This window comes from Homo sapiens, chromosome 11 (genome assembly GCF_000001405.40).
Source record: "Homo sapiens chromosome 11, GRCh38.p14 Primary Assembly".
NCBI lineage: Eukaryota > Metazoa > Chordata > Mammalia > Primates > Hominidae > Homo > Homo sapiens.
In genome coordinates, this window is record NC_000011.10 from 123853981 (window position 1) to 123877270 (window position 23290).

The following is a 23290-nucleotide window of genomic DNA, read 5'->3' on the forward strand; positions in this document are numbered from 1 at the left end:
AATGGGAAATGTCTACACATTGCTTTTACCACCATTGTGTCTTTAGAGTAAATATCTTGTTTTGATTTTACATGTTCATAGGTGGAAGAAACATGGCCTTGACTCTCAGATTAAATTGAAGACTTTGGACTTTTGAGTTGATGCTGAGTTGCATTAAGACATTTTGGGTTGGGGACAAAATGGCCAGTTAGATGTAGCTGTGGTCCATGGCACTCATGGAGAGGAATGAAAAGGGGCAAGTGAATACAATACCTTCAATTGAAATATCCAGGTTATCATATTAGGAATGAATAGGCAAGCAGTTAAGATCCACAGAGAGTGGGGAGAAGCAGGTTTGAGGTGGGGGGTGCAGTGATGGCCCACCCAGGAGAAGCTTGGGGCCAAAGAAACCCTCATCCTCAGCCAGGGAAGGTGGTGAGTGTTTGTGTGACTCACCTGGGAAGCCATGCTTCTCCCACAGGTCTTTGCAACCTGTGGAGCAGAAGATCCCCTCATGAGCCCACATCACAAGGGCCTTGGGTTTGTTACACAAAGCTGGGCAGAGTCCTGGCAAAATAGCCACTTACACACATACAAAGACCCAGGAGTTTTGCATGCTCGGGCCAGAGATACTGACAAGGTGGAAAATCCTTCTATACACATCCCTAGGAAGGAGGCTGAATACAGGGAGTCAAGCAGCATCGTTCTGTAGGCCCCACTTCCATAGTACCTCATGGGTTAAGACCCACTGGGTTAGAATCTGGCCAGCCAAGGGCAGAGGGTTAAGTCGGCTGGAGACAAGACCTTGTTCCTGAAGGGAAGGACGGCCACCATCTTTATGGTTCAGAGGGAAACAGCCATTCCAGCTTGCTGGCTGTGGAGAACGCATACAGTCCAGATGAATAGGGGCCCCCACGGTGCAGCACAATGGCCTTGCCAGATCGGGGCCAGACTGCTTCTTTAACCTGGGCCCTGACATAGTCCTCCTTACTGCGTGGGTCCTTTGTTCCACAGACAGAACTCCGATCTCTCCCTGGCAGGGAGTTCCTGGTAGGAGGGATGACCACCATATCTGTGGTTCTGTAGACTCAGCCATCCCAGCCTGCCAGGGGCACAGAAAAGGAAAGGACCCCGGGGCACAGTATAGCTGCCTTACCAGATGGTGGACAGACTGCTTCTTTAGCCAGACTACTTCTTTAACCGGGACCCCGACCCACTTCTCCTTACTGGGTGGGTCCTCAGCTCTGCAGACAGAGATCTAATCTCTCCTTAGGAGGGAACTCCCAAGGGGAGGAGCATCCGCCATCTCTGCAGTTCCCTAAACTCAGCCATTTTGTCCTGCTGGCTGAGGAGAATATGGGCAGTCCCATATTCATGAAAGAGGCTTCCCCCGACCCAGCACAACATGTTTGCTCTACCAAGAAGCAACCAGACTTCTTCATGGGGTGGGTTCTTGATCCTGTCCCTCCTGACTGGGTGAGATCTTCCAGTGGGGGACCCCAGCTGCCTCCTGCAGATGCAGGAGAGGCCAAAGAGAGTGGGGTCTGGAGTGGACCCCCAGCAAACCGCAGCAGCCCTATAGTCGAGTGGCCTGACTGTTAAAAGAAAAACAAACAGAAGACAACTACAATATCAACAACAACAACAAAAGACCTTACAAAAACCCCATTCAAAGGTTAGCAACCTCAAAGATCAGAGGTAGATAAGCCTACAAAGATGAGAAAGAATTAATGCAAAATGCTGAAAACTCAAAAAGTCAGAGTGCCTTTTTCCAAATGACTGCAACACCTCTCCAGCAAGGGCACAGAATTGGGCTGAGGCTGAGATGGATGACTTGGCAGAAGTAGGCTTCGAAAAGTGGGTAATAGTGAACTTCACTGAGCTAAAGGAGCATGTTGTAACCCAATGCAAAGAAGCTAAGAATCATGATTAAAAAATACAGGAGCTGATAACCAGAATAGCCAGTTTAGACAAGAGCGTAACTGACCTGATGGAGCTGGAAAACACAACATGAGAAATTTACAATGCAATCACAACTATCAGTAGCAGAATAGACCAAGTGGAGGAAAGAATCTCAGAGTTTGAAGACTATCTTTCTGAAATAAGACAGGCTGACAAGAATAGAGAAAAAAGAATGAAAAGCAACAAACAAAACCTCTGAGAAATTTGAGACTATGTAAAAAGACCAAACCTACAATTGATTGGCGTATCTGAAATAGACAAGGAGAATGAAATCAAATTGGAAAACATACTTCAGGATATCATCCAGGAGAACTTCCCCAATCTAGCAAGACAGGCCAACATTCAAATTCAGGAAATCCAGAGAACCCCAGTAAGATAGTCCATGAGAAGATCAACCCCAAGACACGTGTTCATCAGATTCTCCAAGGTCAAAATGAAAGAAAAACTGTTAAGGGCAGCCAGGGAGAAAGACCAGGTCATCTACAAAGGGAAACTCATCAGACTAACAGAGGATCTCTCAGCAGAAACCCTACAAGCCAGAAGAGATCGGGGGCCAATATTCAGTATTTTTAAAGATAAGAATTTCCAGCCCAGAATTTCATATCCAGCCAAACTAAGCTTCATAAGTGAAGGAGAAATAAGATCCTTTACAGACAAGCAAATGCTGAGGGAATTAGTCACCACCAGACCTGCCTGGCAAGAACTCCTGAAGGAAGCACTAAATATGGAAAGGAAAAATTGTTACCAGCCACTACACAACACAGTGAAGTACACAGACCAGTGACACTATGAAGCAACCACACAAGTCTGCATCTGTGTTCGTAAGGTATATTTGGCCTATAGTTTTCTTTTCTTGCAGTGTCTCTCTTTAGCTTTGTCTCTTGTAGTGTCTCTGTTTGTTTTTTCCTGTCTCTGTTTGGCTGGCCTCATACAATGGGTTTGAAGGTGTTCCTTCCTCTTCAGTTTTTTGGAAGAGTTTGAGAATAATTGGTTGTATTAGTCTGTTCTCATGCTGCTAATAAAGGCATACCCAAGATGGGGTAATTTATAAAGAAAAAGAGGTTTAGTGGACTCACAGTTTCACATGGCTGGGGAGGCCTCATAATCATGGTGGAAGACAAAGGGGGAGAAAGGCACATCTTACATGGTGGCAGGCAAGAGAGCTTGTGCAGGGGAACTCCCATTTATAAAACCATCAGACTTATTCACGATCATGAGAACAGTATGGAGGAAACTGTCCCCATGATTCAATTATCTCCATCTGGCCCCACCCTTGACTCATGGGGATTATTACAATTCAAGATGAGATTTGGGTGGGGACACAGCGCCAAATCATATAATTGGTATTAATTATTCTTTAAGTATTTAGTAGAATTCATCCATGAAGGCATCTGATCGTGGGCCCCCCTTTTTTTTTTTTTCTGTGGTTGTTTTTCTTGGGAGGTTTTTGATTGCTGATTTAATCATTTTTGTTCTTACCCTATCATTCTAAGTCCTCTCAATGCTTTGAGGGAAGTGAGAGAAACAGGTATCTCAGGAAGCTCCCCTAACTGCTGGGCACATTGGATGCGAGCTTCACTCCCTCTTGGTCCTGAGGGAGAAATCACGTGATGAGGAGCTCTCTCAGGGCATTGAACTGTGCTAGCTTGGGGACAGGGACTGATGTGGATAAAGTGAAACTGCTCTTCTTACCTGTTTCAATGCAGCTGTTTTTGGTTATATGTTTGTCTACAGTGCTGCAATTTCTTAACTGAGTTCTGGGATCTCATAAAAGTATTTTGTCCCATATGTGAATAGTAAATCAGTGTTTCCATGGGGAGATGAGGGCTGTACTTCCTAATTTACCATCTTGCTCGTGTCACTTTCAATTTCTCTCTTGATGTGCTACTTTGCACATGGCCCCAAAGTATATCAAGTTGTGGTGCTTCATAAATATTCACAAATAATACATTCTTTCAAAAGTTGTCAGAATCATCACTTGTGGTGGGACCTTGGATCTCACGATAATCATCCTTTGTTGATGGGTTAGTCTATGACTTTTGTATTAATAATTTAAATTCTGCCCCAAAGCTGTGACTTATTTATGTTGGATATGGGATCTAGACTCCCAGATTAAATACTGCATTATTTTGTTGCCGTTACCACTTAGGAACTTCATTACTAACTTGCTGCCAGTGGAGATAATTCAAAACCAGTAAAAGTTGCAATCAGTTCACTTTGGCTCAGTACATTTCCCTCAGGATTAATTTCCAAACTTTGAACTTAAAGAAAAAAAAAAAAAACAGTCCCTTAGGACATTTACTTACAACTAGAAGACAAAAAAATGAGTTTTTAAAAAGCAGGAAGTTTTAGATATTTATTTCTACTCACAAAATGGACACTACATTAAAGAACGTGAACCTTGAGAGTTTAAAACAGATAGAATAAGATAATATCCTATTTATTTAACCAAATATGAGAGTCCCTTCTTAGTTTCCTGTGCATTAGTGGTAAAATAAATTTGACCTCTTCATAACAAAATTCTCATTTAATTAAAAAAATTTAAATGTATGTATTCTGGGTACGAAAATGTAGGAAATGTAGAAAAGTAGAGTGATGGAAAAATGCCAGCCATCGTATTACTCAAATTAATCTATGTTAACTATTTGGAGTATTTCATTTCAGCCTATGAGAAATTTTGAAGTGCAATTTAATTATGAATGAATGAAGAGGTTTTGAAAGTTCCTTTTCTAAATATTTAGTTCCATATTTACCTATAGGCCTATAGGCCTTTTGTTGTATCCAAGTGAAAGCAACTTCCTCTTTGCACTTGAACATAACTTCACCTCCAATCCAGACCACCGCTGTACAAACTGGTTGGGATACGGGTCTGTTCAAAGCAAATAAGACCATGCTAGACATTTTTACGTGTGTGACTGAAGTCAGATACTGAAGCTTGAATCTTATCTTTATTGGGATTTTAACACGATGTGCATGAGTAGAAAAAAAAACCCACATAAGTAATTTGGGCTTTGCATTTTAGTCTATAGGATAGAAACTTGTGTTTAAAGAACTGTTATCCCACAGACTTGGGGTAGTCTTCTGACAGCTCTCTCTTAAACCAGTGATGAGAATGGTGAGTAATGAGGAACAAACATAAAAGAAGACCCTTAAAAAGTCATACTGTCACTGATTTTGTAGATGACGAGGCTTTAGGTAATGTAATATCTTCCAACTGTCACAAAATGTCATGAAACAATCTAATAAATGAAGACTGTTTTACTACATTGAATCCATAAAAGAAGTTAAATTGATCTCTTTCGGTGTTTGGTGGGGACCTTGGAGCATAAGGAAATAGCATTCCAAGGAAAAGTATAAATCAAAATAAAATTTGAGTAAGAAATAATCAAAATAAGATATGTCCGATTACAAAGTGTTACACAGACAGAATTATCTGCAATTTCTTATCAGAGGACTATTCTCTTTTCCTACCACCTGGGTTACAGGTATTAGTATAACTGAGGCTCTCATAGGCTTCTGGCACCAAATGCAGAAAAAAATATTTGCTGTGTTCACTTAGGGGTAGGTGTTTTGCATGAACAAGACCTCAGTAGAGTTCTTTAACCTAGGGGTTTAGCAACGTAAGTATTATTTATAACTAAGAAGACAAAAACAGTGTTGTGAGTAAACAAAACCCTTTAGTCATACAAAGACATAATTAATATAATCTGAATTATACGATGTGGTTTTATTTAATCACTGATTCATTCTCATTAGGATTGTCAAACTCACCAGGTGATGCAGAGCCAGAGGTAGACTCTCAGTTCTTTTCATGGTACTATTTTTACACCATTCTGTATTTTCAAACACTTTTTCTTACTTTTGGGGTTCTCTAGATTCAGAGGCTTTAAGGTTTGTTTGCCTTTTATCCGAGCCTTATGTTTCTCTACAAATCAGTGTTCTTATGCCAAAGACTACCAGCAACATACCTATAGTTAAACAAGTAGGGTTTAATTAATCATCACCATGAGAAGAGCCCACACCGTGGGGAACCATAGAATATTTAAATAAGAGGGTGTACCAGCTACAGGATTTGGGCTCTGGTACTTTCAGGAAGTATCTAAAAAAGTAGGGGCTTGCTCTGGATTAAGCATTGTTAGAAAAATGAGGCAATTCTATTACTGAGTATCTCAAAATACCTTATCTATAGTGAGGGTAGACAGAGTGAGATAAAGGTATAATTGGTAAAGAGACAGCAGTCATTCATTTGGTGAGAAAAGGTGATGTTTGGTATTTTGTGCCACATGATGATCTTGTCTGAAATGGATGTTTGGTGAGCTTGTTAACGGGCAATGAGAGAAAATCGTAGCTGTGAGCATCAGATCAGTTTGTACTCACATTAGGGCCTATCTTTGAACCTCAGAGCAGTTCTGGGTGATAGGGGCTACTTTTTTCTTATACATTACCATAATTCTTTTTACAGTGGCAAAGTGATGTTTCCTTCTTTATATTGAATCCTGTTTCAGTTGTTAAGGTTATGCTTAGTTGTTGAACATCTCACCCCTCTTTGACGCAAACCAAGCTCTCTGATTCTCTAGGATACTTAGCAACAGTATCAACATCCACGGTGACATTCCTATTTCTAACCTTGCTTAACAGCCTTCTGCATCCTACCCTTTCCTGGTGACACTGGTCACACTGCATCGTTGCCCTTTCTAACTAATAAAACCTCAACAAAGCATAAAAATTTGAAGAAAAGAGCTATATACATAGTTACGGGAAACAATAATAGACTTAAAAGGTGATCCTGCTTTCCAAATATAGTCTTTAAAGTCATACTGTGTTGGTAAATTAATCACATTTTTATTTGTGATCACAGTGTGTAGAAACTACATTTAGAGATGACTCACATTAATCAGAATAGAAATTAATTTACAATAACAAAGATAGTGCTAGACAGCTACACAACTTTTGCTTTTGCCAGAATATTTCCTCCAAATAGAAAAAGTATATGGGAAAACAAAGTAGGTACATAGGTATTTAGTGAAACTTGAGTCAGAACAAAGGACATTAGTAACCAAATAAAATGTTTAATGGAACTAGGTAAAGATAATCTGAGGCTCCCAATGCCACAGCAGGTGTATACCTGACTTGTGTGCAGGATAGACCTTTTCCCTAGAAACAGCATAGGATGATATAGTCTTTTCATTAATCAATCTTTTAAACTTGTCTCTTTGCCGTATTGGCTAGGAGAATTAAATATTTTGCCTCTTAACATAGTCAAGATTATTTAAAAGGAAGCATTTCAGGCTAGTGAAAGCTCGTTATTTTTCACTCTTCCAATGTCCACATGTGATGACATGTTGTTACTTTATATGAATGATCTCATTTAAGAGCCACAAGCGTCATGTAAGGTAAACAGCAGAAATTCCTGCCATCATTTTAGAGACGAGCAAGAGCTTAGAGAAGTAATATAACTAATCTAACTCCATGGACATTTAGTGGCTAAACAAATGTTAGACATTAGCTCTTATAACTCAGGGTCTCGAGTTTTTCTGCCATTCCGTATTACTACATGAAAAATATTTCAGAGACAATGAGGACATAGAATCTTTACTTTTTTTTCCTGGCTTTCATATCAAGGTTATAATATTTCACTGTTAGTGATGTGTGATGCTTATTCATTCTGCCTACATAATGCCTCACTTCTGTACCGCCGTTCACGTGAACGAGGTGCCATACAGAGGCAGCATAGCTTAGATGTCCTGAAGTTGCTTAGTGTCATGTTCCTTTGGAATGTGGTGACAGTATTGTGCAAATTGACTCCCTTCATACTTCCTTTACCTCAAGCTATAAATGCGGGGATTCAGAAAAGAAGTCACTACTATAGTGAGGATAGCTGTCACTTTGTCAAAATCCAGCTAATACCTCGGGTTAGGCCTCACACACGTGGAGATGGAGTTTCGGCAGGCAATAAAGATGATGGTGATGTGTGAAGCACAGGTGGAAAAGGCCTCCTGACATCCTTGGGCTGAGGGGATGCACAGGAGGGAGAAATGATGTAGGCGTAGGATGTGGCATTAAGCACCAGCGAGGTCAGGACCATAAGAGATGATCAAAGGAAGCTTATCATCTCAATGAAATGAATATCAATACAGGCCACCTGCAGTAAAGAGGCAATGTCACAGAAGAAGGGACTAATTTTTTCAGTACAGTCTGGCAACCTGGACACCACAATAGTCAGGCGCAACACAGCCAGGAAGGTTCCCATCCAGCATCCCAGAGCCAGCAGGAGGCAGGCCCTGCTTTTTGCAATGATGGTGCTGCACAGGGGGTCACAGGTTGCCATGCAGTGTTTGAAGGATGTCACTGCCAAGGGGATAAACGCCACTGTCCCTAGAAAGAAGTAGAAATATATTTGGGTGATGCAGCCAGAGAACGATATGACTTTTTTCTAAGGAACAAGTCCATTGGGGTTTGGAGACAATTATCTGTCCACGTTAAGAAAATGACGAAAAGGTTTCCTGTTATGGTGAGCATATGAACCAGCCAGAGAAGGACACATAGCCAAATCTGAAGCTCCTGGACAGCAGGAAGGGAGACCGGGTGAATTCAGTTACCATTGTCTGGTTTCGTATGACCCTTCCACTGGAGGGGCAAAAATACAAACAAAGGAAATTAGAACAGTTTAAGATACCCTTCAAATTTTCTATGATCTTGCTAAATCTAGAATAGAGAGGACATTCCAGAGGAGAAGGGTCCTAATCCTGTCTGTGACGGTGGCCTGGGGCAAATCAAATGATGTCATTTGGTCTCACTTCTCATCTATATGATTAACAGTTTGGATTAAAAAAAAATACACAACTCTATGGTTCCTTTAAACTTTTACTTTTTGATTTCTGTTAAACTTATATATTTCTTCTCTATTTCCTTCTTAGATACAAAACCATCCAAGCTCACTGAAGTATATAATAAACTGAAAATTCCCCAAGTTATTTCAATCATATTTTAACCCTTCATTGGCTATCCTAGCATATAACATCACATCATACTTTGTTGAGGGAAGAGAAGCAATCAAACAAATTCTATTACCATTTTTATTTAGTCCATTTTGCCTCACTGTGAAGGAATACCTGCAGCTGGGTAACTTATAAGGCAAAGAGGTTTATTTGGCTCACCATTCTGCAGACTGTCCAAGTCATGGCTCCAGCATCTAGTTGGCTTCTGGGGAAGCCTCAGGAAGCTTCCAGTCATGGCAGAAGGCAAAGGGGGAGCAGAAGTGTCACATGGTGACAGAGGGAACAAAAGGGAGAGGAGGAGGTGCCAGTATTTTTCAAAAGAGGATAAGTAAGCCAAAATCAATAGTGCGTATAAGCTTATCCCAGGGATGAAAGAATGGTTGAATATTAAATTTTTGTAAATATTCTTTCACACTCACAGGTTCAAGGACAAACCACTCTGTCATCTCAATGGACAGAAAAAGTATTTAATATGTTTAAACACGTAGTCATTATAGAAATAGAAAGAAAGAAATAGAAATAAACTTATTTAATTTTGTATAAAATATTTATCCAAAATTACATAAATTATTATTTCAAATGAGGAAACATTTGAAGAATTGAAAATCAGGAATAAGATAAGCATAACCACTATTACTCATTTAATCAACAGTGTATTGAAGAGAGGAATTACACTATTGCACATCAGTAAGAAAGTAATTTTCTTTCAGAATATGTCACATTTGTGCAAGAATAGAAACCCCGTAACCCCATAAAACAGACCCATGGAATATAGAGGACTTCGATATATAATTTATGTGTATGGCAAATCAGTGGCAAAAGAAGAAATTTTCAGAAAATGTGGAAAAAAGAATATATATAAAAATTATATTTTCCATACATATCAATACTATATTTCCATATATATGGCTATGCGGGAGCAGGAGGCGAGGATGGAGAAAGAACACATAGGTAGTTGTCATTCATTGATAATGTTCTCATTCTTGGGCAGGTGGTAGATGTTTATTTCATTATTAAAAACAAACTAAAATAAAAGAGGGTCATAACTGGAAGAAAGATCAGAATGCATTATGAATCAAAGGTTATGACTGTTCCAATCCCAAGGGAAGAGGCTGTAAAAACAAAAATGTAACAACAGCAATAGCAAAGTCAACAGTGATATTTTAGTGATGGGTTAAATACTGTATTGGAATAGTGGAGTAGACAGCCTGTAAGTTTTTGAGAGTCTGTAATTTTATGAAAACTATTCCGGGCATTCTCCAAAAATTTCAGATTAGCCAATCCATAGAAATAGGAGATTTCTCCTTGTTACAAAGTATCAACTATGATTAGACTAGAGATTTAAATATAAAACCTAAACTTAAACATTTAAAGACATATAAAGAAGTATATTTCTGAAATACTGTAGGGATGATTTCTCAGCAATGTTAAAGAAATCTTAACCATAAGAGATAATACTAGGGAATTCAAATATTTTAAAATTAAGAATTCTTGCTATTCAAAAGGGATCTCATACAAAATGAAAATACAAGCCTCCTATTGGACAAGATATTCACAATACCTTTGCTCTGGGATTCTTTTGAGTTGTTAATGTAATGCTGGATTTCCCTCAATTCATAGCCCATTTAACCATTTAGAATCTTTTATTTAGGACTGTAGCATAGACCATCAGCCCATCACATGTCAAGTAAGTCATTTGAAGAAAAAGTTGGTTTATTGCTTTATGATAAAATATTTGAGCACAAACTATATAAGGATGGGTAATTGGAAGTGCATAGGTTGTTAATTGCATTCAGCATTATCTACTTGAATGCAGAAAATTGAAATATTAGGTCATTCAGTTTATTCATTACCTAGCATTTGAAATTGTTGTTCCTTCTATGTGACTTCAAGTATTTGGTTTTTGTGTGGAGCTAGCATGTTCCACATGCTACATGCTGCCTTATCTTCAAGTGTTTTCTGAAATCCACTAAACATCTCTTCTTTCTTATGTGTCTTTTCTTGTGACATTTTCTCCTTGAGAAAATACCTCATTGCTTTCTTCTTCATCTGTCGGTAGTCCAGTTGCCTATATGCCCAAATGAGATTAAATTTTCATCTTTTGATAAAACAGCGTTTTTGAAATAAGGCTTTTTTTGTTTGTTTGTTTTGTTTTGTTTTAATCATCTCTAACCCCACAGCTGGCAGTGATCTAAAAAGAAAGAAAGAATTTATGGTATTAAAAATTCTGTAACCGTGTGTGTGTGTGTGTGTGTGTGTGTGTGTGTGTGTGTAACAAGCTCAACAAGACATTGTTCACAAGGATGATTGATTAAAGACATAAATAGCTTAATTTTATATGACTTTTATTGGTAGTTACTAAGGTATGTCTCTTCTAAAGTATTTTCCATGGTTCCTATTTTTCATGCACGTCTGTGTGAAGAAACCATCAAACAGGCTTTGTGTGAGCAACAAGGCTGTTTATTTCACCTGGGTGCAGGCAGGCCGAGTCCGAAAAGAGAGTCAGCGAAGGGAGATAGGGGTGGGCCCGTTTGATAAGATTTGCGTTTAAAGGAAAAAGGGGGTTGTTCTCTGGCAGGCAGGAGTGGGGGGTGTCACGGGGTGCTCAGTAGGGGAGGTCTTGAGCCAGGAGAAGGAATTTCACAAGATAATGTCATCAGTTAAGGCAGGAACAGGCCATTTTCACTTCTTTTGTGGTGGAATGTCATCAGTAAAGGCAGGAACCAGCCATCTGGATGTGTATGTGCAGGTCACAGGGGATATGATGGCTTAGCTTGGGCTCAGAGGCCTGACATTCCTGTTTTCTTATATTAATAAGAAAAATAAAATGAAATAGTGGTAAAGTGTTGGGATGGCGAAAATTTTGGGGGGTGGTATGGAGAGATAACGGGCGGTGTTTCTCGGGGCTGCTTCGAGCAGGATTAGGGGCGGCTTGGGAACTTAGAGTGGGAGAGATTAAGCTGAAGGAAGATTTTGTGGTAAGGGGTGATATTGTGGGGTTGTTAGAGGAGACATTTGTCATGTAGAATTATTGGTGATGGCCTGGATGCTGTTTTGTATGAATTGAAAAACTGAACGGAATAAGAGAAGGAGAAAAACAGGTATTAAAGGACTAAGAATTGGGAGGACCTAGGACATCTAATTAAAGAATGCCTAAGGAGATTCAGAATAGCCTTGCCAGCAAAGATTATTTATTTACTTTAAGAGTTAAGAGTGGTGGTTTGGCGATAGCACCAGGAGATATCAGCTGTGATGGCTTGGAGAAACAGTGTAAGCCGGCAGTGTAAACAAGAGCAGGGCATGTATGAGTAGTTGAGAATGGTGAATAGGAGTATGACTAGAGAGAAGATAGTAGGGATGACAAGTTTTTTGGAGCACAGTCCAAGTTGGTCTGCTGTCTGGAATGAGACTGGGGCCTAATAAAAAGGAGCGTCTATACAGGAGCTCAAATGCGCTGTACCCTGTAGCATTCTGAGGACAGGCATGAATTCTGAGAAGGGAAAGTGGTAAAAGTATCGTCCAGTCCTTTTTAAGTTGGTGGCTGAGCTTGGTGAGGTGTGTTTTTAAAAGACCTTTAGTCCATTCTACCTTTCCTGAAGACTGAGGACCATAAGGGATATAAAGGTTTCACTGAATACCAAGAGCCTGAAAACCTGCTTGGCTGATTTGACTAATAAAGGCCGGTCTGCTATCGGACTGTATAGAGGTGGGAAGGCCAAACCGAGGAATTATGTCTGACAGAAGGGAAGAAATGACCATGGTGGCCTTCTCAGACCCTGTGGGAAAGGCCTCTACCTATCCAGTGAAAGTGTCTACCTAGACCAAGAGGTATTTTAGTTTCCTGACTCGGGGCGTGTTGAGTAAAGTCAATTTGCCAGTTCTGGGCAGGGGCAAATCCTTGAGTTTGATGTGTAGGGACGGAGGGGGCCTGAATAATCCCTGAGAAGTAGTAGAATAGCAAATTTGCTAGTCCTGGGTGGGGGCAAATCCCTGAGCTTGATGTGTAGGGAAGGGAGGGGGCCTGAATCATCCCTGAGAAATAGTAGAATAGCAGATGGAACACTGAGAAGTTATTTCTTTGAGGATAGATTTCCATGATGGAAAGGAAATGAGAGGTTCTAAGAGGTAGGCTAGTGGCTTCTACTATAGCATAGCCTGCCTTGGCTGGTGTGTGGCGATTAGGCCTGGTGGAACTGCCATCAATAAACCAAGTGTGATCAGGGTGAGGAACATGAAAGAAGGAAATACGGGGAAATGGGGTGAATGTCAGGTGGATCAGAGAGATACAGTCATAGGGGTCAGGTGTGGTATCAGGAATAATGTGGGAGGCCGGATGGAAGTCTGGGCCAGGAACAATGATAATTGTGGGAGACTCAACAAAGAGTGAGTACAGCTGAAGGAGCTGGGGAGCAGAAAGTATATGTGTCAGGTGTCAGGAAGAAAATAGATTTTGGAAGTTATGAGAACTGTAGAGAGCGAGTTGAACATAGTTTGTGATTTTAAGGGCCTCTGAAAGTATTAGGGTCGTGGCGGCCACTGCACGCAGACTTGAGGGCTAGGCAAAACAGTAAGGTCAAGTTGTTTGCATAAAAAGGCTACAGGGCACGGTCCCGGTTCTTGTGTAAGAATTCTGACTGCACAGCCCTGCACTTCGGCTGTGGGTAATGAAAAGGGTTGGGATCAGTCAGGGAGAGCTAGGGTGGGGGCAGTCTCTAAAGCTGTCTTCAAGGAATGGAAAGAGGAGTGGGAAAAGGATTTAGGATCTATGGGGTCAGCTAGGTTTCCTTTTGTGAGTTTATATAATGGTTTTGTTAGGATGGCAAAACCAGGTATCTAAAGTTGAAAGTATGTAACCATGCCTAGGAAGGAAAGGAGTTGTTTTGTAGAAGGTGTTGGGGTTTGAGAGATCAGTCAGACATGATTGGCAGGGAGAGCACGTGTGTTTTTATGAGCATTATGCCGAGATAGGTAACAGATGAGGACGAAATTTGGGCTTGACTGAAGTAATGGGGACTGTTTGTGAAGCTTTGCGGCAGTACAGCCCACGTAATTTGCTGAGCGTGATGCATGTCAGGGTCAGTCCAAGGGTCAGTCCAAGTGAAAGCAGAGAGAGGCTGGGACGAAGAGTGCAAAGGAATAGTAAAGAAAGCATGTTTGAGATCCAGAACAGAATAATGGGTTGTGGAGGGAGGTATTGAGGATAGGAGAGTCTATGGGTTTGGCACCGCAGGATGGATAGGCAAAACAATTTGGTTGATAAGGCGCAGATCCTAAACTAACTTGTAAGGCTTGTCTGGTTTTAGGACAGGTAAAATGGGGAAATTGTAAGGAGAGTTTATAGGCTTTAAAAGGCCATGCTGTAGCAGGCGAGTGATAACAGGCTTTAATCTTTTTAAAGTGCACTGCGGATGGGATATTGGCATTGAGCGGGGTAAGGGTGATTAGGTTTTAATGAGATGGTAAGGAGTGCATGATCGGTCACCAAGGAGGGAGTAGAGGTATCCTATACTTGTGGGTTAAGGTGGGGGGGGCAGGTACAAGAGGAGGACACAAAGGAGGCTTTGGATTGGGAAGAAAGGTGGCAATGAGATGTGGCTGTAGTCCAGGAATAGTCAGGGAAGCAGATAATTTAGTTAAAATGTCTCAGCTTAATAAGGGAACTGGGCAGGTGGGGATAACTAAAAAGGAGTGCTTAAAAAGGTATTGTCTAAGTTGGCACCAGAGTTGGGGAGTTTTAAGAGGTTTAGAAGCCTGGCCATCAATACCTACAACAGTTATGGAGGCAAGGGAAACAGACTCTTGAAAAGAAGGTAATGTGGAGTGGGTAGCCTCCGTATTGATTAAGAAGGGGACGGACTTAGTTTCCACTGTGAGAGCTATTCGAAGCTCGGCATCCATGATGGTCTAGGGGGCTTCTGAGGCCATTGGGCAGTGTCAGTCTTCAGCTGCTAAGCCGAGAAGATCTGGGAAGGAGTCAGTCAGAAAGCCTTGGGCCAGAGTTCCAGGGGCTCTGGGAGTGGCTGCCAGGTGAGTTGGACAGTCTGATTTCCAGTGGGGTCCTGCACAGATGGGATGTGGCTTAGGAGGAATCCTGGGCTGCGGGCATCCCTTGGCCTGGTGGCCAGATTTCTGGCACTTGTAGCAAGCTCCTGGGGGAGGCAGTTCTGGAGGAATGCCTGGCCACTGCGGTTTAGGCGTTTGGAAGTTCTTGTGTGCTGGAGATGTGGCTGGGGTTTGTCTCACAGTGGAGGCAAGGAATTGCAACTCAGGAATATGTTGCTATTTGGCTGCCTCTACTCTATTATTGTACACCTCAAAGGCAAGGTTAATTAAGTCCTGTTGAGGGGTTTGAGGGCTGGAATTTAGTCTTTGGAGTTTTATTTAATGTTGGGAGTGGATTGGGTAATAAAATGTATATTGAGAATAAGATGGCCTTTTGACCTTTTAGGGTCTAGGGCTGTAAAGCATCTCAGGGTTGCTGCCAAACAAGCCATGAACTGGGCTGGATTTTTATATTTGATGAAAAAGAGCCTAAATGCTATCTGATTTGCGATAAAGAAAAAGGAGCATTAACCTTGATTATGGCTTTAGCTCCAGCCACCTTTTTAAGAGGAAATTGCCGGGCAGGTGGGGGAGGGCTAGTCACAGAATGAAACTGTAAGCCAGACCGAGTGTGAGGAGGGGAGGTGATAAAAGGATTATAGGGTGGAGGAGCAGAGGCTGAGGAAGAATTGGGACCTAGCTTGGCCTGCCGAGCTGGGGAGAGGTCAGATGGATCTGTAGAAAAGGAAGATTAGAAAGACTCAGTGACACTTGGGGTTGGGACTGAGGGGACAGGCAGGAGGGAAAGAAGGAAGATTTGGGACGAGTTGCATTGGGAACAGAGACTAGGGAGGGACCAATGTGTAAAAGAATGCCTGGACGTCAGGCACCTCAGACCATTTGCCTATTTTACGACAAGAATTATTTAGATCTTGTGGGATGGAAAAATAGCAAGTGCCATTTTCTGGCTATTTGGAACTACTGTCGAGTTTGTATTGGGGTCAAGTGTCATTGTAGAAGAAAATAAGGTGTTTAGGTTTTAGGTCAGGTGTGAGTTGAAGAGGTTTTAAGTTCTTGAGAATACAGGCTAAGGGAGGAGGAGGAATGGAGGGTGGAAGGTTGCCTATAGTGAAGGAGGCAAGTTTAAAGAGAAGGGTAGAGACACGGAGAAGGGGGTGGGGAGCAGCTCTGGGCTGCAATGTGGGTGAGCAGCCAAAGCAGGCGTCCCCGCAATTGACTTGCCACCAAGGGAACATGGGTGAATGATCAAGGCAGGCATCCCCACGGAGATCAGACACCAATGGAACGTGGGTGAATAATCAGAGAGGCGTCCCGCAATGATTAAACAGCAAGGGAAGCCTGCCTTCCTGAGTCCGTGACCGGCGCCGGAGTTTTGGGTCCATGGATAAAACGCATCTCCTTTGTCTCTACCAGAAAAGGAAAGGAACTGAAGTTAAGAGAAAGGAGAGATTGAAGTGTGGTGCCAAGATTGAAGGAGAAAGAGGTTGAGGGATAGTGAAGGAGGTTGGAGAAGAGAGTAAAAAGAGGCCACTTACCAGATTTGAAATTAGTGAGATGTTCCTTGGGCTGGTCGGTCTGAGGACCTGAGGTCATAGGTGGATCTTTCTCACGGAGCAAAGAGCAGGAGAGCAGGGGATTGATCTCCCAAGGGAGGTCCCCCGATCCGAGTCACGGCACCAAATTTCATGGACGTCTGTGTGAAGAGACCGCCAAACCGGCTTTGTGTGAGCAACAAGGCTGTTTATTTCACCTGGGTGCAACCGGGCTGAGTCCGAAAGACAGTCAGCAAAGGGAGATAGGGTGGGGCCATTTTATAAGATTTGGGTAGGTAAAGGAAGAAGTGGGGTTGTTCTCTGGCAGGCAGGAGTGGGGGGTCACAAGGTGCTCAGCAGGGGACGTTTTGAGCCAGGATGAGCCAGGAGAAGGAATTTCACAAGATAATGTCATCAGTTAAGGCAGGAACAGGCCATTTTCACTTCTTTTGTGGTGGACTGTCATTGGTTAAGGCAGGAACTGGCCATCTAGGTGTGTATGTGCAGGTCACAGGGGATATGATGGCTTAGCTGGGCTCAGAGGCCTGACACTATTCATGTCAGTACTCCTTGTAACCACATGAACTTGTTTCCTTGTGATTGAACTGTAGACAGAACAGGTAACTAAGATTAAGTAGAGTAAAATCAGAAAATAATTTATTTTTTCTTTAAGTTCTGAGTGTCAGTGTCCTTACTGAATGGTAGTATTACATGAGGTTTACATTTACTTCCATCTCCAAGGGTCAATTTATATAAATACGGATTATCCTGAGCACCTATCACAAGATACTACCTCAACATCTGAAAAATAAAAAGCCAAATAAATTTCTCATTTAAAGTTTTGTGTATAAGCTAAGCAATATTGTATAGTGGGAACTATGTGATGGACTTTGTAGTTGGAAGGTGACAATATTGGCCTGACACCAATACTATGTTTTCTAAGAAATCTAAGTCAGATCAAGAAAATAATTTATCATATGTGATGAGAACTGCCAGGTCAATTGTGAATTGTCTGCAGGATATAAGACTGTCTCACATTTTATTACATGGTATAAGTATATGCATATGCAGACAGCCATGTGTCTTAGAAGGTCAAACAGTTTTAAGATCTTTGCACTATCAAGGGTTTTATTGTGGACAGAAGTCAAACAGGTTAAGCAGAGAGATCTGTGTTATCACACCTCCACTGCATATTAAAATTTCACATTTTTATTATTCATGGCAATGTATTTTCTTTGTATTTTATCCTTAAATGTTTTTCCTTCCTTTCCACCTACCCTGCTTCCGGTCCTGTTTTTGTTTATTTATTTATTTTTTTCAAAAACATTTACTGAACAGCTATTTTGTTCCAGGTACTGTGTTAGTTGTTTGCTGGTAAGTAAATACCTTATCTAATTTCCATTCTTACTGTCATCCTAAGCAGAAGGTATTTATTGTACCTCCATTTACAAGTGAGTAAATTAAAGTCACATTTAGAAGTCAGGAGCCCTTGTAGCAGAGCACATCTCCTCACATATACAAGCATTGTACCTAGGGTGGATGTGTTCCTTCTCTTACTTTTGGGAACGTCCTGCTCATTCATATATCTTGTTTCATATTTTGTTATCTCTGATCGTTAGAAAATTCTTTAACTTGAGGCAATACTTTTTTCCCAGTGACTTTCACTGAAACCTGTACAAAGTCACTACTCTCATCTTCTCCACAGGCCTTGATTTCTAATTTTTGGTCTCAAATAATAGCTGTGTTACTAGCTGACATACATTGAATTCTTGGTTAGTATGTGCCAGGCACTGTTTTAGATGCTTTAAAACTTTTTGAATGGCATTAGAAAAAAAATGTGCATTTTCTATTTCTTAGATACAAAGTTTTCCTGCTAATTTTTAGTTTTGAAGCTTTTGTGTTTTCATAACACTTCTTTTATTGAGCTATCAGTTTCTGGTACATGTATATTAAATTATACCTAAAATCAATTTTGAATTTGTCAGATTTTCCTCGCAATTTTGTCGGTAGTTGTTTTAGTCCACTTTAGGACTCTGCTGTTTGAACAACCCTTTGAAGTTGAAGGTAGGTGTTGTTATGATCTACATTTTTAGGCCTACATTTTTGTAGACTGTGAGGACTAAGCTCTGATTTTATTTTTATCTTACCCAAATTCCTGTCTAAGGAGTCTGGGGAGTCATGCCCTACAAATCATAAATTCTCATCAGATGGGTTTATTTAACCCTGTATATCATGACTTACTTTCCAGTCTGACTCTGGCATAACATTATGTGACAAATAAGAAAGTCAAAATACTTTACCCCAAAACATGTTTCTTTGCCATATTTTGAAAAGGCCTTGCAAAGCTGTCCTTTGTGGGGGAAAATTTGCATCTGTAAAGAATCTCTATTAACATAGCTAGATCTTTTTCTTCCAGGCCCTCCCAATCCTGAAGAGATTAACTGAGAGTCTAGTACATTTTTTTTTTTTTCATTTATAAAGGAAAGAGGTTTAATTGACTCACAGTTCCACATGGCTGAGGAGGCCTCACAATCATGGCAGAAGGTGAATGAGGAGCAAAGTCACATCTTACATGTCATCAGGCAAAAGAGAGTATGTGCAGGGAAACTCCCCTTTATAAAATCATCAGATCTCATGAGACTTATTCACTATCATGACCTGCCCCCATGATTCAATTACCTCCCACTGGGTCCCTCCCACAATATTTGGGAATTATGGGAGCTACAATTCAAGATGAGATTTGGGTGGGGACACAGAAAAACCATATCAAATACATTCCACTATAAATTATACTCTAGGTGAATGGTGTTTGCAGATTTTTTTGGAAACCGGTGGTATATTATAGGACAGTGCTAGAAAAATGTCTGGATATTTAAAATAATTTTTCATTGAGGAACAAAAAGAATATATTTTCAATGTAAATATAAATCAAAGAGACATAGACTCATAAGGTGGTTAAAATCTCAGGAATTGTTCAACTATCCACTTATTTGAACAGATAAAATAAAATATTGTTATCAGTGGAGACAATGATCAGCTATAAGGAGACATATAAAATAACAGTGGTTTAAACTAATTCCTTTCCGAGTTTACTGAGCATAGGGATTAGCTGGGGATTGTAAAAATGCAGATTGTCATTCGATGCATCAGGATGGGGCCTGAAAATCTGCAGTTCTGACAAGGTTGCAAGGAATACTGATGATGCTGGTGGGTTGAGGACCACACTCTAAGTAACAAGGATGTAAAAAAGCTTATTTATCACATAAAAATTAGAGGTAGAAAGTTCAGGGCTGGTAAGACAGCTCCCCAAGTTATTCAAGGTCCCACCTCCTTTCACTTTCAGGTTTCACCATCTTTAGGGTGTGGTCTTCATTCTTATGGTCCATTATGTAGCTCCAGCTATCATATCTATGTCCCATGCAGCAGGATGGAAAAAATGGGATGGTAGGAGGAGCGTGGGAACCATAAGAACATGCCAGTGTCTCTCAAGGAAGATTTCTGGAATCTACCACAAGAAAATTTCAAACCTTTTCTATTAGCCAGAACTTAGTCACCTGACCACATCCAGGTGAGAGGCAAGCTAGGAAATGTTACTTTTATACTGAGTGGCTATGTGCCTAACTGAAAGTCCCCACTCTCTATTGGGAAGGGGTGTGTGAGGCATGGAAATGGGGGACGTCTAGCAGTCTCTGCCACAGATGCGGATGTCTGCCACAAGAAATGATTTGCCAAAGATCACATAGAAAAATTACAGTTCATAGATTAATTATAATCAATACATGTATAGAACTTCTCAGTTTATGTGTGGTGTTGTTGTATGTCATAGGCTCATTTTGTTTTCATAACTATCATATACTACTATGAGCTTCTTTTTTGGTTGTGGAAAGTGAGGTGCAAAATGATTGAGAGACTTCCGTGATCATAAAGCCTACCCTCACTACTCTCTTTAAAATTGCATATTTCTGTCTCTCCCTTCTCTCTCCCTCCCCCCTTCCTGATTCCTCTTACTGGGTTCTTTATTATTATTATTATACTTTAAGTTCTGGGATACATGTGCAGAATGGGCAGGTTTGTTACCTAGGTATACACGTGCCATGATGGTTTGCTGCACCCATCGATCTGTCATCTACATTAGGTATTTCTCTTAATAGTATCCCTCCCCTAGCCCCCCACGCCCCTCGGGCCCTGGTGTGTGATGGTCCGCTCCCTGTGTCCATGTGTTCTCATTGTTGAACTCCCACTTATGAGTGAAAACATGCAGTATTTGGTTTTCTGTTCCTGTGTTAGTTTGCTGAGAATGACGGTTTCCAGCTTCGTCCATGTCGCTACAAAGGACATGAACTCATCCTTTTTTAGGGCTGCATAGTATTCCATGGTGTATATGTGCCACATTTGCTTTATCCGGTCTATCACTGATGGGCATTTGGGTTGGTTCCAAGTCTTTGCTATTGTGAATGGTGCTGCGATAAACATATGTATGCATGTGTCTTTATAATAGAATGATTTATAATCCTTTTGGTATATACCCAGTAATGGAATTGCTGGGTCAAATGGTATTTCTGGTTCTAGATCCTTGAGGAGTCGCCACACTGTCTTCCACAATGGTTGAACTAATTTACACTCTCACCAACAGTGTAAAAGCATTCCTATTTCTCCACATCCTCTCCAGCACCTGTTGTTTTCCGACTTTTTAATGATCACCATTCTAACTGGCGTGAGGTGGTATCTCATTGTGGTTTTGATTTGCATTTCTCTAATGACCAGTGATGATGAGCTTTTTTTCATATGTTTGTTGGCCACATAAATGTCTTCTTTTGAGAAGTGTCTGTTCTTATCCTTCGCCCACTTTCTTGATGGGGTTGTTTTTTTCTTGTAAATTTGTTTAAGTTCTTTGTAGATTCTGGATATTAGCTCTTTGTCAGATGGATAGATTGCAAAAATTTTCTCCCATTCTCTAGGTTGCCTGTTCACTCTGGTAATAGTTCTTTTGCTGTTCAGAAGCTCTTTAGTTTAATTAGATCCCATTTGTCAATTTTGGCTTTTGTTGCCCTTGATTTTGGTGTTTTAGTCATGAAGTCTCTGCCCATGCCTATGTCCTGAATGGTATTGCCTAGGTTTTCTCCTAGGGTTTTTATGGTTTTAGGTCTTACGTTTAAGTCTTTAATCCATCTTGAATTAATTTTCGTATAAGTGTAAGGAAGGGGTCCAGTTTCAGTTTTCTGCATATGGCTAGCCAGTTTTCCCAACACCATTTATTAAATGGGGAATCCTTTCCCTATTGCTTGTTTTTGTCAGGATTGTCAAAGATTAGATGGTTGTAGATGTGTGGTGTTATTTCTGAGGTCTCTGTTCTGTTCCATTGGTCTATATCTCTGTTTTGGTTCCAGTACCATGCTGTTTTGGTTACTGTAGCCTTGTAGTATAATTTAAAATCAGGTAGCGTGATGCCTCCAGCTTTGTTCTTTTTGCTTAGGATTGTTTTGGCTATATGGGCTCTTTTTTGGTTCCATATGATATTTAAAGTAGTTTTTTTCTAATTCTGTAAAGAAAGCCGATCATAGCTTGATGGAGATAGCATTGAATCTATAAATTACTTTGGGCAGTATGGCCATTTTCACAATATTGATTGTTTCTATCCATGAGCATGGAATGTTTTTCCATTTGTTTGTGTCCTCTCTTATTTTCTTGAGCAGTGGTTTGTAGTTCTCCTTGAAGAGGTCCTTCTCATCTCTTGTAAGTTGTATTCCTAGCTATTTTATTCTCTTTGTAGCAATTGTTAATGGGAGTTCACCCATGACTTGGCTCTCGGTTTGTCTATTATTGGTGGGTAGGAATGCTTGTGATTTTTGCATACTGATTTTGTATTCTGAGACTTTGCTGAAGTAGCTTATCAGCTGAAGGAGATTTTGGGCTAGCACCTTTTAAAGGCCTCAATAGGAAACATCTGTCATCTATTGTCTCTAAGGCAGCCACTGTGAGACTTCAAAAGAACCTTGGTCTCCACAGTCTTTTATCTTAATCTGAACATTGTCTTTCTATTAATCCCAGGTCTTTAGACAAACTCAACCAATTGTAAACTAGAACATGTTTAACTCTACCTATAGCCTGGAAGCCCCTTTCCAGCTTCAAATTATCCCACCTTTCCAGACCAAACCAATGTATTTCTCAAATGTATTTGATTGATATTTCATGCCTCCCTAAAATGTATAAAACCAAGCTGCACCACAACCACCTTGGGCACATGTTCTCAGGACCTTCTAAGGGCCATGTCATGGGCCATGGTCACTCATATTTGGCTCAGAATAAATCTCTTCAAATATTTTACGGAGTTTGACTCTTTTCATCGAGAATTGTTAAAATAAACATTTTGCGGAAATTTATGGAGGTTAGCTTACTTAAAATCACATAGCTAGTAGGTAGCAAAGCCAGATTGAATGCGGCTCTGTGTGACTCAAAGATTTTCATTACTCACAGGCAGGCATAGTAGGGGCTCTTATTCCCACTTTTTCAGAAAGGGAAAACAAGTTGAGAAGTCTGGTAAATCAGAACTAGGGCTCAGCTCTAGTTTAGTAAATGCAGATATGTTAATCTCAGCAGCATGTTCCATGTTTGGAAATGTTCTTACTACTTTGAGTAACTGAGTAACTGGAACATTTTAAGATCCAGAAAAAAATGTCAGGATTGAAAGAGATATTTAGGATCACGTAGTCCTATCAAGGTCAAAATATCAATATTCTTCCAAAATATTGTTCTAGC

The 23290-nt window shown here is 40.6% G+C and overlaps 1 pseudogene, besides 2 other annotated features; it reads right to left on the bottom strand.

The window, feature by feature from the left end:
* On the bottom strand, positions 7701-8543 carry OR6M3P (olfactory receptor family 6 subfamily M member 3 pseudogene; annotated as a pseudogene).
* Positions 7855-8354: an enhancer, noted in NCBI's record as "H3K4me1 hESC enhancer chr11:123732543-123733042 (GRCh37/hg19 assembly coordinates)". NCBI's record gives its function as "activates a minimal SCP1, AML or CMV promoter by ChIP-STARR-seq in primed H9 embryonic stem cells {active_cell/tissue: H9 hESC(primed)}" and the evidence as "EXISTENCE:reporter gene assay evidence [ECO:0000049][PMID:30033119]".
* Positions 11387-11900: an enhancer, noted in NCBI's record as "NANOG hESC enhancer chr11:123736074-123736587 (GRCh37/hg19 assembly coordinates)". NCBI's record gives its function as "activates a minimal SCP1, AML or CMV promoter by ChIP-STARR-seq in naive H9 embryonic stem cells {active_cell/tissue: H9 hESC(naive)}" and the evidence as "EXISTENCE:reporter gene assay evidence [ECO:0000049][PMID:30033119]".